Raw genomic sequence first — 24,227 nt, forward strand, 5'->3', positions numbered from 1 at the left:
TAGCTGGCACTACAAGCGTGTGTTACAACACTGGCTACGTTTCGTATTTTTAGCAGAGACAAGGTTTTGCCATGTTACCCAGGCTGGTCTCAAACTCCTGGCCTCAAGCTATCCACTCACCTCAGCCTCCCAAAGTGCTGGGATTACAGGCATGAACCACCGCGCCCTGCCTACAAGTCCCAATTTAAATATAATTTAATGACACAGCTTGTATCTTTAATTTCTATTGCTCTGCTGAAGTTTACTAAACACTCAAAGCAAAATAGTCTTCCAAATTAGGAAGTCATTAGAGCTAAACTATAAAATAAACTTGAATTCACAAAAGTAATTAGATTTTAAAATTATGTTAGAGAGTAAATTACTGTAGTAATTAAAAAGTCTCACTTCATTTTCACAAATGATGCATAATCTTGCTTGAAAAAAATCTTTACATAGTTCATCTGGGATACAGCTCACAAGTCTATTCTTTAAACAATGGTTGAAAACAAATGATGAGCAGAAAAGCCTAGCAATCTCACCACTGGATAAATACATTCTGACTTACAAGTCATTTGAAAAGTACCAAATTCCATTGTTAGAAATTTAACACTCATCTCTCTACTCCTTCTTTGTCCTGGTTGGGGCATAAGGAACCACAGAGAATGCAACACATTCTCTCCATTTGAAAGGCTAAAAGTTCCTACAAACACTGTTACTCACCTACCACCAATTTCTTAAGAACATGTAAAGTTGCTGTGGCAGATTTACTTACTTAATTAAACTCTTATTACCATTAGATTCCAAGCCCTGTTGAACCTGCAGTGAATGGCATAGAACCTGTAATATAGGTACTTAGCACACATTGCTGAGATCAACTTTATGCCAGATGATTTTCTATTAATTAGGGATCTAGAATGAGTAAACTGTCCCGCGCACATTTACAATGAGAAACAATTATTCCATAGTATCAACAACAAAAGGCCATTGTTTACTCTGAGGAATTAAAATGTTGCATCACTGAATTTCTGATGTGCTCTAAATACCTTTCATTCTTCTGTCATTCTCTTCAAAAGACACTGACCAAGTTAACTTCAAGAACACACCACTGGTGATACACCAGAGAGCACCAGGGCAGTGGCTGAAAGTTTGGGGTAGGCAACAATTACTTAGAACCCCCAAGAGAGCACTAACATAATAGAAAAATTACAAAGTGGACTTCATTAAAATTAAAGACTCTGTTCAAACAAAGAAGAAATTAAAGACTTCTGTTCATTATTAAAGAAATGAAAGGGCAAGCTACCAACTAAGAGAAAATACTCATGATACGTGTATTTGATAGAGGATTAGTATCCAGAATACATAAAGAATTACTACAAATCAATAATACAAAGACATACAAACAAATTTAAAATGGGCAAAACTCCCAGACACGTCACAAAAACAATGGCTAAGGAAAACATGCAAAAGCATTCAAAATCAATAAGAAAATATAAATTAAAACCACAGAACAAGGTACCATGTCATACCTACAAAACATCAAATGTTGGTGAGGATGTGGAGCAACTAAAATTCTTACGTATTTCAGACTGCAGTGCAAAATGGTACATATTCAGGAAACAGTACAGTAACATCTTACAAAGCTAAACACACATCTCCCCGATGACCCAAAAGTTCTACTCCTACATAGTGAAGAGAATGAAACATGTCTGCAGAATGGTATCTAGAAGAACATTTATAAAAGCTTTTTTGTTCATAACTCCAAACTGGAAAAAAAACAAATTCCATCAACAGGAGTACAGATAAGCCAAACTGTGGGATATTCAAACTAACAGAGCATTCACCAATAAAAAGGAAAGAGCAACGATATATACAATAGGAATGGAAGTCAAGACACGGTGTTGAGTGACTAACGCCACATTCAAGGAGCACACGCACTGTGATTCATTTATAATGCAGTTCAAGATAAGACTAATCCATAGTGGCAGAAATCAGAGCAGTGGCTGTCTACGGAGAGTGGGGGATCGACTGAAAGGAGTCAGGGAGAACATCCTGGAGTGATGGAAATGTTCCACATCTTGAATGGGATGTTAGTTACATGGGTCCATGCACCTGACAAAACTCACCAAATTTATATGTAAGATCTGTTACTTTCACTATATAAAAATTATACTGCAACCACGAAACAAACAAAAAGAAACTATAATGTAATGTAACTTGTTGCTATAGATTAGCATTTCTCAAACTTTTGGTCTTAAGATCAATTAAACTCTTAAAAATTACTGAAGACCCCAGGGCCAGGTGCAGTGGCTCACGCCTGTAATCCTAGCACTTTGGGAGGCCGAGGCAGGTGGATCATGAGGTCAGGAGTTCAAGACCAGCCTGGCCAACATGTTGAAACCCCGTCTCTACTAAAAATACAAAAATTAGCCAGGCGTGGTGGTGGGGGCCTGTAATCCCAACTACTTGGGAGGCTGAGGCAGGAGAATCACTTGAATCTGGGAGGTGGAGGTTGCCAAAATCGTGAGTAGTGAGCTAAAATTGTGCTACTGCACTCCAGCCTGGGTGATGGAGTGAGACTCCATCTCAAAAACAAAACAAAACAAAAAACAAAAAAAACCCTTATTGAAGACCCCAAAAGAGTTAGTTTTTCTTTCCCTTTCATTTATCTCTCCTTTTCTTTTTCTTTTTTTTTTTTTCTTGAGATAGGGTCTTACTTTGTCATCCAGGCTGGAATACGGTGGCACGATCATGACTCACTTGCAGCCTTGACCTCCCAGGCTCAGGCAATCCTCCTGCTTCAGCCTCCCAAGTAGCTGGGACCACAGGCAAGTGCCACCATACTCACCTATTTTTTCTTTCTTTTTTTAGCAATGGGGTCTCCCTATGTTACCCAGGATGGTCTCAAACTCCTGGACTCAAGTGATCCTCCCACCTTGGCCTCCCAAAGTGCTGAGATTACAGGTGTGAGCCATCGTATCTGGTATAGTTTTCTTTTAATGTGGATTTTATCTATTGCTATTTATCAAATTTTTAAAAAGCTGAAAATAATTTCTTGACTTATTAATTCATTTAATAAAAGTAAAAGTGATATGTTAACCCAAATAACTTTTTTTTTTTGTTTGTTTGTTTTTGAGACGGAGTCTCGCTCTGTCACCCACGCTGGAATGCCACGGCATGATCTTGGCTCCCTGCAACCTCTGCCTCCCGGGTTCAAGTGATTCTCCTGCCTCAGCCTCCCGAATAGTTAGGATTACAGGTGCCCACCACCACGCCCAGCTAATTTTTTGTATTTTTAGTAGAGACAGGGTTTCACCAGGTTGGCCAGGCTGGTCTCGAACTCCTGACCTCAGGCAATCCACCTGCCTCGGCCTCCCAAAGTGCTGGGATTTACGGGCATAAGCCACCGCACCCAGCCCTAAATAACATTTTTATAGAAAAAGACTGTATTTTCCAAAACAAAAACAGTTAGAAGAGTAGCACTGTTTTACATTATTGCAATCTTTTAAATGTCAGGATTAAGAAAGGATAACTGGATTCTCATAACTGTTTATGCATTCAATCTGCGATTTCTTACATCAAGTAGTCTAGAAACTTTATTGTAAACATTTAAGTGAATGATAGGAAAAAGGCACATTTTTAGTAATATAATGAAAACTGTTGTAACTTTTTTGTCCCCTGAAAGGGCCTTGAGGACCCCTACTCCCCACCACAAGAGTCCAAAATCTCTACTTTCTAGAACCACTGGCATAGACAGCAGAAGGACTTTCCTTTTTCCCAGTGCAGATTTAAGAAACTTTGGAACAAGGCAGTTAAAAAAAAAAAAAAATTCGGCCAGGCGCAGTGTCTCATGCCTGTAATCCTAGCACTTCAGGAGGCCGAGGTGGGTAGATCACTTGAGGTCAGGAGTTCGAGGCCAGCCTGGCCAATATGGTGAAACTTTGTCTCTACTAAAATACACAAATTAGCTGGGTGTGGTGGCATGTGCTTGTAATCCCAGCTACTCGGGAGATTGCACCATTGCACTCCAGCCTGGGCAACAGAGCGAAACTCCATCTCAAAAAAAAAAAAATCAATGCATTCAACAAATATTAACTACATTTCAACTACTCTAAGGTTTTGAGGATATTAGGAAGCTGGATAAATAAAATGTCGAGGAATATTTACAATTGAGATAATTCTGTTTCAAAATGTTATTTCATTTCTGGAATCTGCTTCAGAAACTTTTTTTTTTTTTGAGAGATAGTCTCGCTCTCTTGCCAGGCTGGAGTACAGTGGTGTGATCTTGGCTCACTGCAACCTCTGCCTCCCAGGTTCAAGCGATTCCCCTGCCTCAGCCTCCTGAGTAGCTAGGACTAAAGGCGCACACCACCACACCTGGCTAATTTTTTTTTTTTTAATTTTAGTAGAATGTTGGCCAGGATGGTCTCGATCTCCTGACCTCGTGATCCACCCGCCTCAGCCTCCCAAAGAGCTGGGATTACGGGTGTGAGACACCACGCCCGGCCTTCAAAAACTTTAAAACTCTGGCACTTCCACTAAGTGGGCTTAAAAATATTTGAAATAAATAAGATAGTCTGAAACAAATATAACCTTATTTTAATAAGACAGAATTCAAAAATTTCAACCAACATACTCATCTTTAGTAGTTCACCTGACTGCCTAAAAGTTCGATATGATTTTTCATATTCTCTTAACATTTAAATCTGAGAGTAAATACTGGTTTTTAGTCACACAACTCACAGAATCTCACCTTAAGTTGATATAATTTGATTTTATCACAATGAAAATGATGCCCTCAAACAAGGGAAAATGTTTGCCCTCCAAAGGTGATAAGATGTATTCCACGGTCATAAAAATACTATTTTTCTCAGTTGTGTACTATTAATTAAAACTTTAGTTGTAATGTACATGAAGATTCAAGATCTTCAAAGTTATATATGAAATACTTGGCAAGTTTAATATACAGAAATCAACACAAAGTGTCTAAAATTTACCGATACAATTAAATTCCTGAAATTTGCCCATCCCCATTTCAACAGAAGCAGAATTTAGGCTGGTCTTAAAGAAGCCAATCACTTAAAACTCTTCCTGCATGACTGTTATTATAATGTACCCTGTACCTAGTTTCAGGTTCGAATTCAGACAAATACAGTCATCACAAAGTTCTCTCTGTATATCCAGAATGCCATTCTGAAGCCTAGTATAAATGAGCACCATATCTTACAACTTAGTCAGAGACGAGGGTGACTCAACAGCTGGGTATTTAACCTGCTGTTAGACCTCTCCAACTAAAATTAGCGTAGCGTCTTAGAAGCAGGTCAGTACAAGTCTCAGACAAGAGCTCTAAGGCTAGTCATATACCTTTTTTAGTTATGAATCTTTAAAAAAAATCCAATGACTTGGTTTCCTATTTTAAGTTTAATAATTTGATGTGGCCAGGCACAGTGGCTCACGCCTGTAATCCTAGCACTTTGGGAGGCCGAGGCAGGCGGATCACTTGAGCTCAGGAGTTCGAGACCAGCCTGGGCAACATAGTGAAATCCTGTCTCTACTAAAAATATAAAAAATTAGCCAGGTGTGGTGGCGCAGGCCTGTAATCCCAGCAATCCCAGCTACTCAGAAGTTCTACTGCTTGAACCCAGGAGGCAGAGGTTGCAGTGAGCCAAGATTACACCACTGCCCTCCAGGCTGGATGATAGAGTAGGACTGTCTCAAAATGATAATAATAATAATAAAATCTGATGTAATTATCTGATATTACTATTTAATTTTGCTAATATTTCCATAACTTAAAATTATTTTTCATTTTTGATGTTTTAAATTACTTATCTATAGTCTATGATTGCCACTTAACAAATCTGGCTCTACACAATAAAAAGGTTAGGGTGGTCTTGTTTTACAAGAGGTTTTACTTGTTTTGACTTTAATAAGTTAAAATTGTATGTACACAATTTTAAACTGATTTTCACAATGGATTTCTAAAATTTAGAATTTGTTGTCAAGCTTCAAGAACACAGTACATTTTCTTTTTATTTCTCAGTTTATCACCATAACTGGATTAACAGGAATGCTTACAGAATCTTCACATTTGAAAGCAAAAAGGAAATGATGAAAAAATATCTCTGAATCAGGCTTTTAGTTTACTAAGAAGATGTCATTTTAGGCAGCTGGATTCCCTTACTATAGGCCTGCTTCACAGAGTTCAGCACAGTCCTGGGGAAGGAAAGATGAAACAGGAAGGCAGACCTTAACCTAGGGACAAGGTCACTATTCTTTGCTCACCTTTATCTCTAAGAATAACTTAGATTTCATACAACAGGTGCTGGAACAGACGGATGTAAAGTCATTGAAATTAAGTGAAAAGTGAGAGTAGATCACGGTCGTTAGGACCTAAAGGAAACGGTCTGAACAACAGAGAGATTAATGCAATGCATGGTGAATGCTGCACAGATCAGAGCTAACTACCGTCATCCCTAAAGGATTAACTAGGTCTCCTGCAGTGTGGAGCTCTCTAAGGAGCAGAGAGGCTTCAAGGTGGTGAGCACACATCTACTAACATCTCTCCACATTCCAAAAAGGATCCAAAGCTGTCTTATTACTGGTAATTTTGTTGGTTGGGGAGGGGAAAGAAGCCCTTCTTGACTATCATAGAAATCTCTTGGGCTCTCTATCGAGAAAGGTCATGTCTCAGAACTTGAACACCTCCAGTTGGATTAGGAGGCTGATGGTAGCAGTAGGCTGTTTGGTGAGACCTGGAGTTCTCTACTAGAATGTAGGTTTGAACTCTTGATAAAAATTGTTGATCGTTGAATGTAACTCTGGAGCAAGGCTGTTTTTAATAGGCTGTATGTTATCTGGAACACTGCAGACAAGGATTTCTGATCACCAAAACAAGGGTTTGGGGAAAACTGTGCAAAAAATACTTCACAACAAGAGAAGACAAAAAACGAAGCAGAGATGGACTGAATAACAGAAGTGCCCTTCTGCAAATATGACTGTGTTGCTTTTCATGGCTCTGAACTTTCCAGACTAACTTCCCTTCAAACCACACCTACTTTTTCAGAATAAATATAACAATTTGTTTGTGCTTTGCTTTAGCTACTTCCACAGCCTGATTTAACTCTGTTTATAAATGATCTGAGATGCTTTTGATTGCTTACCATCAGAGGGATAGAATTTCTAGGAAGGGAGTTGAGTTTCTGGTTCCTTCCTGCTCTGTGATACATAACACATAATATCTCCAGGGTTCTCTGACACGTATGTTATTTTCCCTTCTGTTTCCTTTTGGATTGCTCTGAGCATAGTAAAATACCTGTCCTGCAAAGGACTGCATCCTTCCCCTTTCCTAAAGCAGGTTTTTTTTCTGCTGAGAAAGATTACACAATGTCCTAAAACACACAATCAGATCTGAAATTTACTATGGTAAAATGGATACTTTATGCTAAATTTCAAATCCTGGCTGAACACTGTGCTGTATCAACATGATACAACAGCAGGTCATAGCCCAGACAATGAGAACATATCACATTTTATGCAATCAATGTGTTTTGAAAAGAGCTGTGTATAAACCAAATTTTTCTGAGGATTCTAAAACACAAGGCAAACCAACCAACCAACCAACCTGTTAAGGATCTATGTGGTTTTTAAAACAATCACTTCCTTAATTTATTTACCTTGCAATTTTTTTATTATTATATATGGTGTTTTCTGAAAAAGGAAAATTCCTCCTAAGCTACCAAGCAAAGCAAATAAGGCCAAAGAACTCCGTGTCCCCTGAGGCGATTTTCTCCTTTAGGCAAAATTTAGATTGGCACAGCTCCAAAGGAAAACAGACACTTCAGTGTATTTGTAGAGACCAAATCCCTTAAGTCACCAGAAGTCAAGATACCCAATCTATGATTTATTAGAAGATGTGGGCAGAAGAAACAGGTTAAGGCAGACCATTAAAAGGCTGTTACTGTGAAAGATATTTCCTAGGCACTCAAAATCTTGTGTTCACGTGTGTTGGGAATGGGAGGGTTGGGGGAAGAGGGTACATCTTTGGATAAATAGATCGAGATGCCAAGCAAGAATATACGTTTTAATAAATATTTAACTGCTTCTTTCTGTTGACATCCTGGGGATTATAAGTGTTTGTAAAGTAAACTTGAAATAGAAATTGGATATTTACCTAAGATATTGAAAAAGTCCAGGGATCAAAAGGAGAAAATAACGAGACCTCTGAATGGGGAAAGTAGTATCAAGGGACCCAGGTACAAATAACAGAGCTTACAGCCTCTCGTCACCTCTTGTTTACATTTGACAATGTAACTTTACAACCAGCTTTGTAGAGACCAGACACGCCTTTGTATTCTCAATAAAATGAAAAACTGGCCAAGCGCAGTGGCTCACACCTGTAATCCCAGCACTTTGGGAGGCCAAGGCGGGTGGATTGCCCGAGCTCAGGAGTTTGAGACCAGCCTGGGCAACACAGTGAAACCCTGTCTGTACTAAAATACAAAAAAATTAGCTGGGCGTGGCAGCGTGTGCCTGCAGTCCCAGCTACCTGGGAGGCTGAGGCAGGAGAATTGCTTGAACCCGGGAGGCAGGGGTTGCAGTGAGCCGAGATAGTGCCACTGCACTCCAGCCTTGGCGACAGAGCGAGACTGTGTCTCCAGAAGAAAAAAGAAAAAGGAAAACCATGTTCATAGATTTTAAATATATGGGCAATTTTTCTTATTTCACATTTACCAATAGAAAACAATGTTATTCTAAGATCAGTACTTTCTTTTCAGCTACCTCTTTCTTAAATTCCAGTTTCAAAGGACAATACAAACTTCCAAAACTCAAACATCTTTTCATATAAATTAAAAAGAAGGACAAAAACAATTTTATTTACCTGTTTTTGTTTAGGGTTCATCGGTTATTTTTTTTTTTAAAGGGGAGGAAAGGTTTCAGCTGTCTCCGAGGAATAAGACTACAAACAACGGTCAATGCAGTAGCAATGAACATCCTTACCACTCAGATTGTTATTTCTAAATATTATTTCCCACTAAAATGAAATATGGCTCCTTAGAGAAATAGCTGACTCTATGTCTGGGGCAGGAAACAAATGATGTAAGCCTGAAACACTTTTTTCTTATCAGAAAGCAAGGCAGCTATCAAAGACAATGGAGTTATTGCCTACAAATATCTATAAAAAAAATTACCAGAGAAACCAATGAGGGTCCTGTCAGAGGGACACAGAAGCTGACCCAGAGGGGCTTACTCTGACCAAAGAGGGGGAAAGATACTGTAATAGATTTAAACAAATCCAACCCATGGGCTCATATATTACCTTTGTAGGATGCTAGGGAACCAATATATAGATCATTTTATAAGGAGGTGTTAGGAAGCTCTTCTTTATTTTTTGAGACAAGTTTTGCTCTTTTTTTTTTTTTTTTTGAGACAGAGTCTTGCTCTGTCACTCAGGCTGGAGTGCAGTGGTGTGATCTCAGCTCATAGCAACCTCCACTTCCCGAGTTTAAGCGATTCTCCTGCCTCAGTCTCCCGTGTAGTTGAGATTACAGGCACCCGCCACCACGCCCAGCTAATTTTTGTATTTTTAGCAGAGACAGAGTTTCACCATGTTGGCCAACTGGTCTTGAACTCCTGGCCTCAAGTGATACACTTGCCTCTGCCTCCCAAAGTGCTGGGATTACAGGTGTGAACCTCTGCACCCTGTCAGAAGCTCTTCTTTATAGATTTTCAGCTAATAAATGTAGAAGGAGTGACAGAATTGAAAGACTACTGTTTTGCAGCACCTAAAGAAATAAAGATGAAGACAATGATCAACCACTAAATCATTAGGTGAAAGACTGTCAGGCAACTTTATCATGGATGTGTCAGATTGTCAATGACTAAACCCAAGAATCAATCTCACCATTACAGAAAGAAGAGAATCAGAGAGCAAATGCTCTCTGATTGATGTCATAGGAAGTACCTATGGTTTGTGTACCTATGAATTTTGTGCTAAAAAACTGAAACATAAATCTGGCCACACCTTTGTAAATAACCATCAGTCCACAGGAAATTCAGGAGTAAAAGAACATGTGGAATGATACCCCAGGAATACAACCAGCAATATCCAGATGGTAGAATACTCTACAGAACAAACGACCAGGTTTCTTGAAAAATAAATGGCAAGAAAAAATGGGGGAGGGAAGAGGAAACCTGGAGTAAAATGACTTAAGAGACATAGAAACCAAAGGCAGTATGTAGAACTTTGGGATCCTATTACTAAATACCATTTTGGATCCAATTACTAAATGACATTTACAAGACAATCAAGAAAATGTGAATACTAACTAAATACTTGATGATAATTAAGAAATTATTATTATACATGATAATAGTACTGTGGTTTAGAAGCAAAAAAGACTCCCACTGTTTTAGAGATACATACTGAGTTATTTAAAAGATGAAATGAGTGCCTGCTTTGGCAACACATATACTAAACATTGAAATGATACGAAGATTAGCATGACCCCTGAACAAGGATGACATGCAAATTCATGAAGTGTCCCATATTTTTTGTAGAAATCAGTTCAAGTAATCTACTGTACAACATGGTTTTTGTTTTGTTTTTTTTGAGATGGAGTCTCGCTCCGTCACCCAGGCTGGAGAGCAGTGGGGTGCTTTCGGCTCACTGCAACCTCTGCCTCCCAGGTTCAAGCGATTCTCCCACCTCAGCCTTCTGAGTAGCTGGGATTACAGGCATGCACTACTGCGCCTGGCTAATTTTTGTATTTTTTGGTAGAGACGGGGGTTTCACTATGTTGGCCAGGCTGGTCTCGAACTCCTGACCTCAGGTGATCCACCCACCTCGGTCTCCCAAAGTGCTGGGATTATAGGCGTGAGCCACTGCGCCTGGCCCAACATGGTGACTATAGTTACTAACAATGTATTATATACTTGAAAATCACTAGAGAGTATAGTTTAAAGTGTTCTCACCATAAAAAATAAGCATGTGAGGTATGCATATATTAGCTCGATTCATCCATTACACAATGTGCGGTATATATATTTCAAAACACCATGTTGTACACTACAAATATACAATTTTTGTTAGTTAAAAAGCTATGTCCCTAAAAAAAATAAAGATAAAATGGTATAGCTTGGATTTGCTTTAAAAATAGGAGGCCGAGCGCAGTGGCTCATGCCTGTAATCCCAGCACTTTGGGAGGTCAAGGTGGGAGGATGTCTTGAGGCTAGGGGTTCAAGACCAGCCTGGGTAACATAGCAAGGCCTCATATCTGGAAAAAAAAAATTAATTAGCTAGGCATGCTAGTGACTCCTGTAGTCACAGCTACTCAAGAGGCTGAGGTGGGAGGATCACCTGAGACCAAGGAGGTTGAGGCTGCAGTAAGCTATAATCACACCACTGCACTCCAGCCTGGGCAATGGGGTGAGACCCTGTCTCACAACAAATAAAAATAAATCAGAACATTGATGTGGTGGTTTATAGATGAAACCAAGTTGGGCACATGGTAAATGTTGAGGGTGAATGATGGGAATCAAGGGTTCATTATATTATTCTACTTGTAGGCATGCTTGAAAATTTCCATAATAAAAAGTTTTAGAAATGGGATTATTCATCTGAAAATATTTTTTATTTCTCTTCGTACATAAGTTTCTTAGCTCTTTGCTATTTGGTTGATTTAAGCATAGCCTTACAGATTATGGCTGCCCTAGAAAACTGCTCTGATTTACCTACAATAATCACTCATCTAGACTAGATGAGAACAAGCGCTTGGAGTCTGGTGAAAGTATGTCTCACCATCATTTGCTTAGAAAATGCTAGAACTGGAAGCAGTTCTAAAGAGTCTCAGCCCGTCTCCAAAAGAGCAACTCCTATCTGCTCTTTAAACTAGGGCAGGATGAGGTCAATGGCCTGAGGAAAGATGCCTCACAGTTTTCCCAGAGTAATTCCTGGCAATAAGCTGGGCAACTCAACTTGGGTTTGTGAAGGTAATTCTCATGAATCTAGACTCAGGCTGCCTTGTTTCTTCTTCCTAGTATACTTGAAGTGACCCCATGGCCTAGCAGCTTGTTAGTCCTGGATGAGGTTTTCAAATTGGAGCCCTATTCGCTGGATAACCACTCTAGTCTCCTCCTGCCAGGCTGGCACTCCCTCTCATTTATTATGTCTCCAAATGCACTTTTGTGGGAGAGATGGATGTCACACGTAATGAGTGGCCTGCTGGCTTTTAGTCCTCTGCTTCAGCTGCTGCCATTCAACTTGCCAATCTGTTCCAGGTGTCCAATCTCCACTGGCCTCTGATGACAGACACCTGCCGTGGCAGGACTGCCAACAGTCCGCCTACACCACAGCACAGTGGTGCCCTCGTCTGACCTACATGCCTTTTAGAATACCAAGCATCTTCTTCCTTTACTATTCCTCTGAAAGCTTCTCATTGCCTGCTCCTTGGTCCCTAGTTCTCTTTTCTCGCTTGGGAGAGTTGAGATAGGCTTGTGTCCAGCTTGTGAAAGAGGTGGGCTTCACAGCAGAGCTGCTTGTGCTTCTAGTGATGCTACTCATTCTTTTTATTGCAACCCTCTACTTTCCAGGACAAGTACTCTAGGCAGGGAGCCGGGAGATAAAAGGAGAGCACAGGCTCCCATTGTCTTGGGGAACCACTGTTCCCTCCAGCCCCCAGCCCTCACCACAAATCTGGCTCATTCTGGGCAGGGCTCTTGCTCTTTTCCTTACTGCTCACTGCTCCTGGGTTCTCTGAAAATCAAAGGTGTAGCTTAAGTGCTCCTGGTCACTACATGATGAGGAATTACCCCAAATATTTCCTGATAGACAGAGTATTTTTCTACCCAGGGCACCAGAGGATCTCTGGGTGGGGTGACTTGCTGCTAACTCTATTCCCTGATCTAATGACGTCTGAGCCCAGATCATCTATCCCGTATCTTTAGGAAGTGAGATTTTGTTTTGTTTTGGTTTTTTTTTTTGAGACAGAGTCTCGCTTTGTCACCCAGGCTGGTGTATAATGCCATGATCTTGGCTCACTGCAACCTCAGCCTCCTAAGCAGCTGGGACTACAGGCGTGTGCCACCACGCTCAGCTAATTTTTGTGTTTGTAGTAGAAACGGGGTTTCGCCACATTGGCCAGGCTGGTCTTGAACTCCTGGCCTCAAGTGATCCACCCGCCTCAGCCTCCCAAAGTACTAGTATTACAAGCATGAGCCACCGTGCCTGGCCTAGGGAATGAGGTTTTAAAACCAAGGTAGTTTTATTCTAGTGATTAAATGTATTCATGTTAAATAATTTTTATTTACCACTAACAACATTTTCTCAATATAATCTTACTTCCTGGAAGGTATTTTCTTAGCTTACGTTTTCAGCCTCTTTGTTTACCTTCAATTCGTGGGTGCATTCCTTGTGTAAATGCTTCATGTGCAGTGACAACTGTTATGTTACACTCCTCTTTCCTGCGGCTAAGAACTAGAATCTAAAGCAATCAGAAGGGTGAATAAACTAAGCAATCACCTGGGGTCCTAATCTACCACTTCAGCAAAATAAACCTCTCAGGTTCTTAGCCACATTTATTACAGAAGGCTTTATTCAAGCTAATCAAGTGCAAGTAATTAGAATCAGACAGAAAAAAAGTCCCTATCATATTTCTGTTATAAAAAATCCTTCCCTATCTTAAACTTGTAAAGATATTGTACATTTTCTTCCAAAGTATTTAAGTTTCGAACTTCCACATTTAAGTGTTTGATTCATCTAGAATTCGTATTTACATTTATGAAAGAGACCCATTTTCTTTTTTTCTTCCATATTAAATGATTATCCAAGCACAATTTACCAAACCATCTATTCTTTCCCTCACTAATCTGCTATGCTAGCTCTATTACATATACCAGGACAATGAATTTTCATTTTCAGTAAGTTTTATCTCTTTCAGAAAGTTTCATTATTACACCCTTTTTTTCCCAAGACTTATTCCTAGGTATGTGACTTTTTTAAAGCTACTGTAAATATCTTCTCCCTCAGTTTTAATTGTAGTTTCTGTCTGTTAATGGTCCACGGAAATTTAATTGGCTGATTTTGTATATGGCAGCCTAGCCAAACTTTCTTACTCTAATAACTTCTACAAGTTTTCTACGGCGACGATGTCATCATATTTTTTATTTCTAAGTTTTATGTGTGTGTGTTTGGGTGTGGCCTCCAAATAATACTGAATAAAAAAGATGACAGCAGGCATCTTATTCCTGATAAGAACTGTTTTAATATGTTATTATCAAGTAGTTTAAGTTTTAACCAGATGAAGTTTTCTTCTATTTGTGATTTGCTAATGTATGTATTGATCATTTTGAATAACTGTTTAATTTTGTTGAAATGTTTAAAATCTATTAGGTTGACCATATGGTTTACTCCTTTAATCTATTCATGTTAATATAATGAATAACATTTACAGAATCATAACATGGATCCAACAGTTTCAGATTCTGACTAATTTGCTTTCTGTTAGTATCATCTACCCTGTATTTGGCGGCAAGGTTGAAGTAAATATCAGTATCTTTACCAAATATAATAAGTTGGGTAATATTGCTAACAAGTTAGAAGATTAGAGCTCAAAATAAACATAATAAATTAGGTCCAAGCTTTGAGAATTGCTCCCACGGAATGTGGCCAAGATGGCAATAAGCTCTGTAAATATAAACCTGACTACACTACGGTGTCCACTAATTTTCCACAAAGCAACTTGATATTTTCTGGAAAAAAAGTACCACAGAAATGAAGGTGGTGAGATTTTAACAGCTTCCACATTAAACTTCTGTTGCACAAATAGTTCCATGGCTAAAAAAGAAATTAAAGGTTGAAAACGCTTGTTCTATTTTACAAGCAAAAGTTAAGCTGGGATTTAATACTTTCTATGTGAACTACAATTTATAATATTCTCTTTTCTCATTTTAAAAAATACACAGTCTCTCTTTAAAAAATAGTTTATAATCCGTATGTTTCCCATGTCTCCCTAAATTTATGTATTTCCCAGGGGGTACTACTGGTGGTATGGGGTGAGGGAGAAATGCAAGGTTCCTATGGGAAAGTTAAATAAATCATAAGTAAATGATTTTTTTTTAATAGTAAGGAAAACAGAAATCTACGACGAGGTCAAATACAATTTTCACATGAATTTTAAAGATAAAACACAAGACTTCAAATAAATTTTTTGGTCACTTCAGGCTGATCCCCCAGGTCATGTAGCAACATATGCCTGTTTTTCTAAAACACAACCCAAACTACTATGAATACAAATTATTCTTGATATCAATATAAAAACTATTATAATCATAGATTATTTATTATGCAATGTAGGGTGCAGGCAAGAGGGATGTGATAGCACTGAATACTCTTGTTTCCTATTCTAAAATTAAACTTTTAAATTATCTGTGGCATATGCTCTATCTATTTGATTAGAGAAGAACTTTATGAAAAAAGGGTTTTAAAAAACTCCTGTGAAAGCTACTTTTTAAAAATAGGAATTACGTATTCCCACATATTACACTGCTGACAATTTCCTAAGTTTTCCTCTTTCACTTTGAACAACTGAAGAACGTCATACTACATTTATAGGTTTAGTAAGTTGCATCTCATTTATCAGTTACACTTTTCTGGTTAGGTCACCTGCTTGCATTTCTTTGTATTCTTCCTTAGTGACCTGTCCTGACTGCATTTGTTTTTGAAAGTTTAATCTCATCTTAACTTTCACATTTGTACCATTCTGGGTTTGACTTTAGAACACAGAATGTATGAATATGGTATAATATAATTCTGTCAAATGCAAAATAACTACTGTCATGATTATAGCACACATACGAAAGAACTACTGAGTCCTGACAAGCAATAAAGAAATCCCCTGTAGCTACAGCAGAGGACAGCATCTAAGCACAATGCTTTTTCTGATATTAATAATACTGAATATCTGCATGCTTCTTTGAACTTTCCAAAGATTTCACCTGTGTTCTCATCAGACTGGCATGGTGTATGTGTTAAATAGTTAAAGACTGTCTTCTCTTTAGAGATTGGTAGGTCTGCCAAGTTTACTGTTAAGTATTTCATGTCTTAAATAGAATTTTGTACTGCACTCCAAAGAAACTGATAGTAACTACAGAGGGAATCGGGAAAGACACTCACTGCTGGACACATAATTTGCAATTATAAGCATGTTTGGAGGACAACCTCTAACCCAACAGAAGAAAACTGTTTTTATCTAGTTGGTTACCTAAAACTCACTAATCTTTTAAAAATAAATACAAACTGAGACATTTTTTGTTAACAAAGGGAAAATACACATAAGCCAGAGAAGTGATGCACACTTTTTTTTTCTAGAACAGTAGTCAAAACCATTGTGGCCAGAATCATAGTACAGAAATGGAATTAGAGTTACACAACCTACAAATATTAAACAAAAAATTATTTTCCAGCAATTACCATTAATAACTCCTTACCCAAAAAGTAATTTTTATAATGACAACAGAATACATCCTTCACTGATCATTTTATAAAATATTTTACTATATGAACACTAGCATGCATATACACCACTGTCTCTCTAAACTTGGGCTGAAATCAGAGAACTGTGGGTATCTATTACGTCTCATTAATTCGGGACAATCTCTAGGACCAAGCCATTAAGGGGATAAAAACATACTAATGTTATTAGACAGTATAAAATGGGTATGTTCAGCAAGTCCTGGGTCTTAATAAAAGTCTTTGTTTAAATTTAACTAAATTGCATCAACAGACTGGCAACATTGCCACTCATTCTTAATAAAACCAACTAGAAGATCAAATGGCCAGAAACTAAAATAGCAATGGAAGGCAGAGTCATAAAAGATGTATGATGAGAAAGGGCACATAGGATCAGTTTTAACAGGTAGTTCTGAATAACCTTTCTAAATCACCAACTAAAGGATTTATGTGCCCCTCTAAGAACATGATTGCTAAGCCCATGTGCTCTGTTCCTACAATTATAGATGATTCTCTTAAATGGACAGAGGAAAAAGTGCTTAAGTTAAATGCTTTCTTTGAGGTGATATAGCAATATAAATCCCCTACACGGGGAAAAATGAAGACAAGACATATATTTCTTTATGAATCCAAATGTACTTTATCGTAAAAACGCAGCAGTGACAACTGTCAGAGGCGATCCTACCTGTGTTTCTTGATGCCATTGGAGAGAGCATCTCCGCCACCACAGTCTTTTTCTTCGGACATTCTGTGTTTTCTACTGCCCAAATGCTCTCCTTCCTCTTCAAAGGAGCGTGCTGTCACTGCTTCCAATCTACTCAGGGACCTTTCGGACTCGGAATCTGTGGCAGAGCAGGTTCATAGTTAATGAATTGAACTTGGGTGTGAGGCTTCCGTAACAATGGATCCCTCCCTTCATGCCTCAGGCTTTGAAACCTAAGCAGCCTACTTTGTCCCTCAACAATCCATCTGTTAACTACCTCCTCAGGGATTTCACAGAACCTGCACCTAATATAAGGCTGAAGTGGATTTATCAAACAGAGGTACACTTACATAAGCTTACAAGTAAACAGATCTCACATAGTAAAAGACATCTCCAAAGATTACTCAGTTCTTTACGAAATCATATTCAGTGGTTGCCCCCAAAATTTCCACCTCTTTCTTCCCTCACAAAGCATCTTAAGTATAACTTCCAAAAAAATTTTAATTTTTAAAACTCATGTATAATGAAAAAGCTGTAGTAGCTAGCTGTCCTTATGAGAAGTTTAAATTACATCCAATACTGTAGACATAAAAGTAAAGTAATTTAAAAATACTTTAAAAAGGTCGGGTCAGTGGCTCACACCTGTAATCCCAGTACTATGGGAGGCTGGGATGGGAGGACTGATTGAGGACAGGAGTTCAAGACCAGCCTGGGCAAGACAGCAAGACCTCATCTCTACAAAAAGTTTCAAAACAAAAAAATAACAGCCAGGTATGGTGGTGTGCACCTGTAGTCCCAGCTACTGGGGAGGCTGAGGCAGGAAGATCACTTGAGGACAGGAGTTGAGAGACTGCAGTGAGCTATGATCACACCACTGCACTCCAGCCTGGGCAGAGTGAGACCCTGTCTCTATACAAAAATAAATAAAATACTTTTAAAAATACTTTTTCCAGGATGATAATATTTAAATTCTCAAGGACAAAAGCCCGAAGCAACCCTATAGTAATTGTCAGGCAGGCATTCTTAGGATGGAAAGGTCACATTTCCAATTGGCTATATATTCAGAGTGGTGCCATCTGCCAGTTTGGGAAGAAGACAACGCATTTTTGTACACGACAGTAGCGTTTTCAGGCATTTCACATTCTTCATCTCTTTTGAGCATCAAAAGGATGCTTTAGTGGAGGTGAGGTAGGACAATGTGGTTATTAACAAGCATGCTAATGGTCTCTCATGGCTTGTGAGTGGGCAAGACAGGATTTGAACCCAGGTTTTCTGACTCCTTGTTTAATGTTTTATGTATTTTGGCTCAAAACAGCAGTCACTCAGTCTCCATCAAACTTTAAATGGTGCCTGAGTTTTTCATTAAAATGGAAATTCACGACGACCTCCAACTTCCCATCTTAAGCAGAGGACAAGCCATTCCCTCATCCTCAGCTCTAAGAAAGGCTCTGATACACATTCCAGCAAACTTCCTATTTCAATAAATTTATCAACAATCTGCTAAATTTGTATTATAGCTAAACTGGTCAGGAAATAACAACGTTTTAGTGCTTTCTTTTTCCACTACTGCATTACATAATTCAGCAAAAATCACAGAACCTTACTGTTACCACATTAGGCTGACTTAGGAGAACGACGGTTGGACCAGCCCAAGTGCAGGTTAGATAATGCACCTTTGGCTCTCAACGCTGGACCCTATAAATGATCTAAGTTACCTGCAGAAAGGCTTTTAATGTTGGGAAAGTTTTGTTTTCTGTAAATATAACTTTAGTAAAATTTCTGAAAATATAGTTTTGTTCTGTCCTATACCTCATAACAAAGAAACAGATTTTTTTTTTTTTTTTTTTTTTGAGATGGAGTCCCACTCTGTCACCCAGGCTGGAGTGCAGTGGTGCAATCTCGGCTCACTGCAACCTCTGCCTCCCAAGTTCAAGCAATTCTCCTGCCTCAACCTCCCGAGTAGCTGGGACTACAGGCATGCGCCACCATGCTCAGCTAATTTTTTGTATTTTTAGTAAAGACGGGGTTTCACCATGTTGGCCAGGCTGGTCTCAGACTCCTAACCTCAGGTGATCTGCCCACCTCAGCCTCCCAAAGTGCTGGGATTACAGGCATGAGCCACTGCGCCTGGCCAGAAACGGACATTTTAATAATACATTTAAAGAGACATTTATTTTTCTTTGTCAATTTTGGCAGAAGGAAACAAACTATCATTGAAAAAAAATTAAAAACAACCTAAATAGTCAATAAGAGGGGGACAGTTGCCTGTCAGATGAAATAAGTTATTAACATTATGTTTACAAGAACAACTTAATGAAATAAAAGATTGTTTTTAACATACATAATGCTAAGACAAAAAAAACCCAGGATAATGCTTTGCAACTCTAAAATACAAGTAAAGAAATAATTTCTCTGCATTGAAGAAAGGCCAGTCTGGTTCAGGTAAACAGATGTCTGAAAACATGGGAGCAATACAATGACAGAAGTTTGTTTAGGGCACGTGTGGAAAGAGATCAGTTAGTTTTCTGGAGTAGGCACAGGGTTGTCAGGAAAGGCTGCAAAGGAGAGATGGCACAACGGCAAATTTTGAAACAGTGGAATTGGTGCTCGGGCGGAGGTGAGAGAGGTGCTCCAGGAGGCGGCAGGAACAAGACCTGCATCAGGGATGATAACAGCCATCTTGGGGTGGGGGTGGTTCCACTCCAACATTTTGAAGTTTGTTTCACTTGAGAAAAAAAATGTAAAAAATCAAAATAATTTCGTCTGTACTGGTATTATTTAAGACACAGTATTAGTTTATGATTTAGAAGTCATGAAAATCATAAAGCAATGAAGCAAAATACCTCAAGCATTTATGCACAGGATTGTGTGTTTGCAATTTAAGAGACATCAATCATAAGGCAGGGACTTACCCACCTAAAAAGAATTTTTTTTAGCAAAAGCAGACATAAACATTAAACACGGAACAGTAAGAGCTTCTATGAAGCAAAGACGGACTTCGCAGAACAAGATTTCAACTCAGTGACTACATAAAGATCTACGACCCACAAACTCATCAGTCACACTGAGAACCCCTGCGTGGGACCACTGCACTGACCCCTAGGGATGCTCCATCAGATGACAGTGCAGACCCTGTCCTCTGTGATTAGCAGCCCGACTCACCCCCTCTGTGCCCCCTCTTTGTCCTTACTCTTCTCCCTGTCTCCCTGTGCCTCCACCTCTTTCTTCCCCCTCCCCTCACCCCCCTCCTTACTCCTCCTCTATACTTTGCTCTCAAACCTCTCGCTATAATATAGTCAGGCTATCCCCACCCTTCCCCTAAAGGGCTCTAAGAAAGGTCGCTAATTACTTCCACATTGCAAAGTACAATGGTCATTTTTCAATTCTTATTTTGACTCATCCACCACATCTGATGCTGCTGAATTCATTCCTCCCTTCCTCATATCTTGCAAGGCCTGTGAAGTGAAGGAAGCATAAGATCTGGTCCCTGCGCATGGCCCAGCAGCGGGGAAGTGTTTTGTGAACAAACGAGTTCAGTAGATTTCTCTAGGTGATCACAGGAGTCTGAATGGGGGCAGCGGGCTACAAAGGAGGCATCAGTCAACTTTACAGAGTGGAGAATGTTGTATCAGGAAAGAACTGTGGCTGATGATTGAGCTGCGTTCGCTGACAAGGAGTAAGAGTGGGGATGAGGACAGTTACAATACAGGAGCTGTCCCAAGCAATAAGAACACCATGGCCAACACAGCGAGGAATGCACTGTGCAGTGAGATGGCAGTGGAAGGCACAGAACGGGCAGACATGAGACTGTGAGTCAGTCTTAAAGCTGACTACATAGGATAAATAAAAAGCAAACACAGGCTGGGCGCGGTGGCTCACACCTGTAATCCCAGCACTTGGGGAGGCTGAGGTGGGTGTATCACTTGAGGTCAGGAGTTCAAGACCAGACTGGCCAACATGATGAAACCCTATCTCTACCAAAAATACAAAAATTAGCCCGGCATAGTGGCACTCCCCTGCAATCCCAGTTACTCGGAAGGCTGAGGCAGGAAGAACTGCTTGAACCCAGGAGGTGGAGGTTGCAGTGAGCTAAGATTGAACCACTGTACTCCAGCCTGGGAGAGACAGCGAGACTCTGTCTCAAAAGAAAAAGGTAGGTAGCGGGAAGAAATATAAAATGAAGCTAGGGATGAGGTAGTCTCCCGATACATGTCATGAGGTTCTGTATACTCACTAGAGAGGAATCATAAACTCTGAGCTTTGTAGTTTCAAAGGCAAAGAAGTAAACATCAATTACATGATTTACAGTGCCTGTGAAATAAAAACTAGTTGCTTAAAAGCCAAAGCTCAGTGATTTCTAGTGCAATGAATAGAGAGATGTGGAATGTATACTGTGTGAAATAGTTTGGGCTTACTCTGTCAGTAACAGAGAACCATTCTTGAGAGATTATACCTTCAAAGCCTTGGTCACACCAATCTATCGCTAGTACAGCATCGTTTCATGTGGAGACTCATGGTTCTATAGATATTTCAGTTTAAACATGTTTAGCTCAATACCAAAGAGGGCATAGCCACTGTGGAGGTTGCTGATGAAAGTCAAAGCCTATCCATAGAAGTTATTTTCAAGTCTCCCTGTAAAACAAATCAGTGCTACATCTTGGTATCTATGAAGTGATAAATCAATCTTTTTTTTTTTTTGGCTTTTTTTTGAGACGAAGCCTCGCTCTGTCACCCAGGCTGGAGTGCAGTGGCACGATCTCGGCTCACTGCAACCTCTGCCTCCCTCACGCAAGTGATTCTTGTGCCCCAGCCTCCCAAGTACCTGGGACTATAAGCGCGCGCCACCATGCCCGGCTAATTTTTGTATTTTTAGTAGTGACAGGTTTCACCATGTTGGCCAGGCTGGTCTTGAACTCCTGGCCTCAGGTGATCCGCCCACCTCGGCCTCCCAAAGTGCTGGGATTACAGGCATGGGCCACCACGCCCCACCAATAATTCAATCATAAAATTCTGGGTTCTTCAATGTTCCCCCACATATAAACATCAAAATGTTAGTGGGTAATATATTAATGCCTTAGTAGAAAGCATGAAGGGAAGAGGTGCATCCTGCCTCCCATGTGCTGGTTGCAGTGCTCTCTTGCAGTAGGGTTAGGCCACGACACTCAGGCTTTCAGGACAAACAAGGAGAGGGAGGAGGGAGGAATGGGGAGTTGGTAGTTAATGGGGATGGAGTTTCAGTTTGGGATGACAAAAAAGTTCTGGAGAGAGATGGTGGTGATGGTTGCATAGGAAAGTAAAGGTTCTTAATCCCACTGCATTGTACACTCAAAAAGGGTCACGTTGGAAAGTTTATGTTATGTATATTTTACAATAAAAACAACAACAAACAAACAAAAACCAGGCAAACACACAAAAACCTGTCCCTAAAAGCCAATGAGCTAGCTATCATGTTGGATGCATGGACTATATTCTGGTCTGGTTAACTCTTACCTCATTGCCAGGAAAACTGGTTGATTTTTCTAGAGCCATATTTTTTTAATGCAGCAGAAGGAAGGTATTTTTACAATATACATAGCTAGACTTCAGACAATGGCAGCCTGTCGTTATTCTTTTTATTTCCCACTCCATTTTCTCCTTAATAAACATATACGTTTCTATAACAGGCAAAACCACTCAAAAATTTTAGGAAACTTCTGACCCCTGAAAAACAGCATAAAAGATTTATGAAATAGCCCTACATTATTTACTGAACTTTTGATGAGCACTTAGGAAAATCTGTGCAGCCCTGAGTAATGACGGGAAATGGAATACTCTTGATAAGCACTTATTTGTGGGTGTGTTTACTCCCATCTAGTTCCAAAAGGATTCAGGTGACTCAGTCGATGATTATATTTTATAGGGAAACCATCAAGCCACGTGCAGTGGTGTGCACCTGTAGTCACAGCTGCTCGGCAGGCTGAGGTGGAGGATCACTTAAGCCCAGGAGTTTGAGACTGGGCAACAGAGCGAGACCCTGTCTCTCAAAAACATTAAGAAGTGTCAGAATAACACCTTGAAAAACATATATTTTACAAGATAAAATGCTCTAGTTTACAGAAGCATTGAAGGTGGACAGAATCTTTACCTGATTAGTTCCTCAATTAAAACAGCAGTATTAATAGAATTAAAATGTAAAATCTCACAAAGTTTGCTTTAATGTTATGGGTCGACAATGGCCCAGATCTTTAAAGTTCTTTTTGTTTGTTTGTTTTGAAACAGACTCTTGCTCTGGCACCCAGTCTGGAGTGCAGTGGCGTGATCTCAGTTCACTGCAACCTCCGCCTCCTGGATTCAAGCAACTCTCCTGCCTCAGCCTCCCTAGTAGCTGGGATTACAGGCGCCCACCACCACGCCCAGCATTTTTGTATTTTAGTAGAGATGGGGTTTCACCATGTTGGCCAGGCTGGTCTTGAACTCCGGACCTCAAGTGATCCACCCACTTTGGCCTCAAAGTGCTAGGATTACAGGTGTAAGCCACTGCACCTGCTTTAAGATCTTTAAAGTTCTGTCCATGTTAGAACTCAGAATTATTTTAAACACATTCAGATTGAACACAGTCTCCTTTCTCATCAAAATAGCATGGAAGCCAATGAATGGCTATTGCCGGCTTATGGTGACTTTAACTTTACTCTAGAATTAAGATCCTGACCGCTATGCTCCTTTTTGTAATTGAGTGAGAGAACTTTCCAAGAGTTGATTTGTTAATTTTTCCTACTATTAAAAGGCTGAAAGAAGAGGCCATAAAGTTCACAATATAAACATGCCAACAATTCTTGTAAGTTATCCTGATAAGCACTTTTTTATCCTGACCTTTGGAAACCAGCCTGAGAACAAATAGTACACAAAGCAGCAAGATGGGGAAGAACTGTGGATAATGTCCAAGTCACCCTTCCTCCTGTTACTGAAGGTAACAGAAAACAGCCAGGAAACGCACACATGCTTAATTTAATACCTTTATTGTTTACGGTTTCCCACGTACCAGGCATGTTCTGAAAATGTCCA

General features: G+C 39.6%; 1 protein-coding gene and 1 pseudogene across 5 annotated transcripts in view, besides 2 other annotated features; one reads left to right on the forward strand and one right to left on the reverse strand.

Annotated features, from left to right (window-relative positions):
- Window positions 1-24,227, reverse strand: part of OSBPL1A (oxysterol binding protein like 1A) — a 235,780-nt gene that overhangs the window by 45,829 nt on the left and 165,724 nt on the right. For 4 of the 5 annotated variants that reach the window (XM_017025530.2, NM_001242508.1, NM_018030.4 and 1 more), the window contains one exon: window positions 17,169-17,325. In XM_017025530.2, coding sequence (XP_016881019.1) covers window positions 17,169-17,325 — 157 coding nt within the window. Of the gene's footprint in view, window positions 1-17,168; window positions 17,326-24,227 lie in introns of those variants that run through there. The other variant, XM_047437287.1, reaches the window with a different exon arrangement.
- Window positions 3,301-3,475: a silencer, noted in NCBI's record as "fragment chr18:21791138-21791312 (GRCh37/hg19 assembly coordinates)". NCBI's record gives its function as "represses an EF-1alpha promoter that drives an FKBP-Casp9 reporter gene in an ReSE screen in K562 erythroleukemia cells {active_cell/tissue: K562}" and the evidence as "EXISTENCE:reporter gene assay evidence [ECO:0000049][PMID:32094911]".
- Window positions 6,172-6,742: an enhancer, noted in NCBI's record as "OCT4-NANOG hESC enhancer chr18:21794009-21794579 (GRCh37/hg19 assembly coordinates)". NCBI's record gives its function as "activates a minimal SCP1, AML or CMV promoter by ChIP-STARR-seq in primed H9 embryonic stem cells {active_cell/tissue: H9 hESC(primed)}" and the evidence as "EXISTENCE:reporter gene assay evidence [ECO:0000049][PMID:30033119]".
- RNU6-435P (RNA, U6 small nuclear 435, pseudogene) lies at window positions 10,427-10,531 on the forward strand (annotated as a pseudogene).

Source organism: Homo sapiens, chromosome 18 (assembly GCF_000001405.40).
Source record: "Homo sapiens chromosome 18, GRCh38.p14 Primary Assembly".
In the NCBI taxonomy this organism is placed as follows: domain Eukaryota; kingdom Metazoa; phylum Chordata; class Mammalia; order Primates; family Hominidae; genus Homo; species Homo sapiens.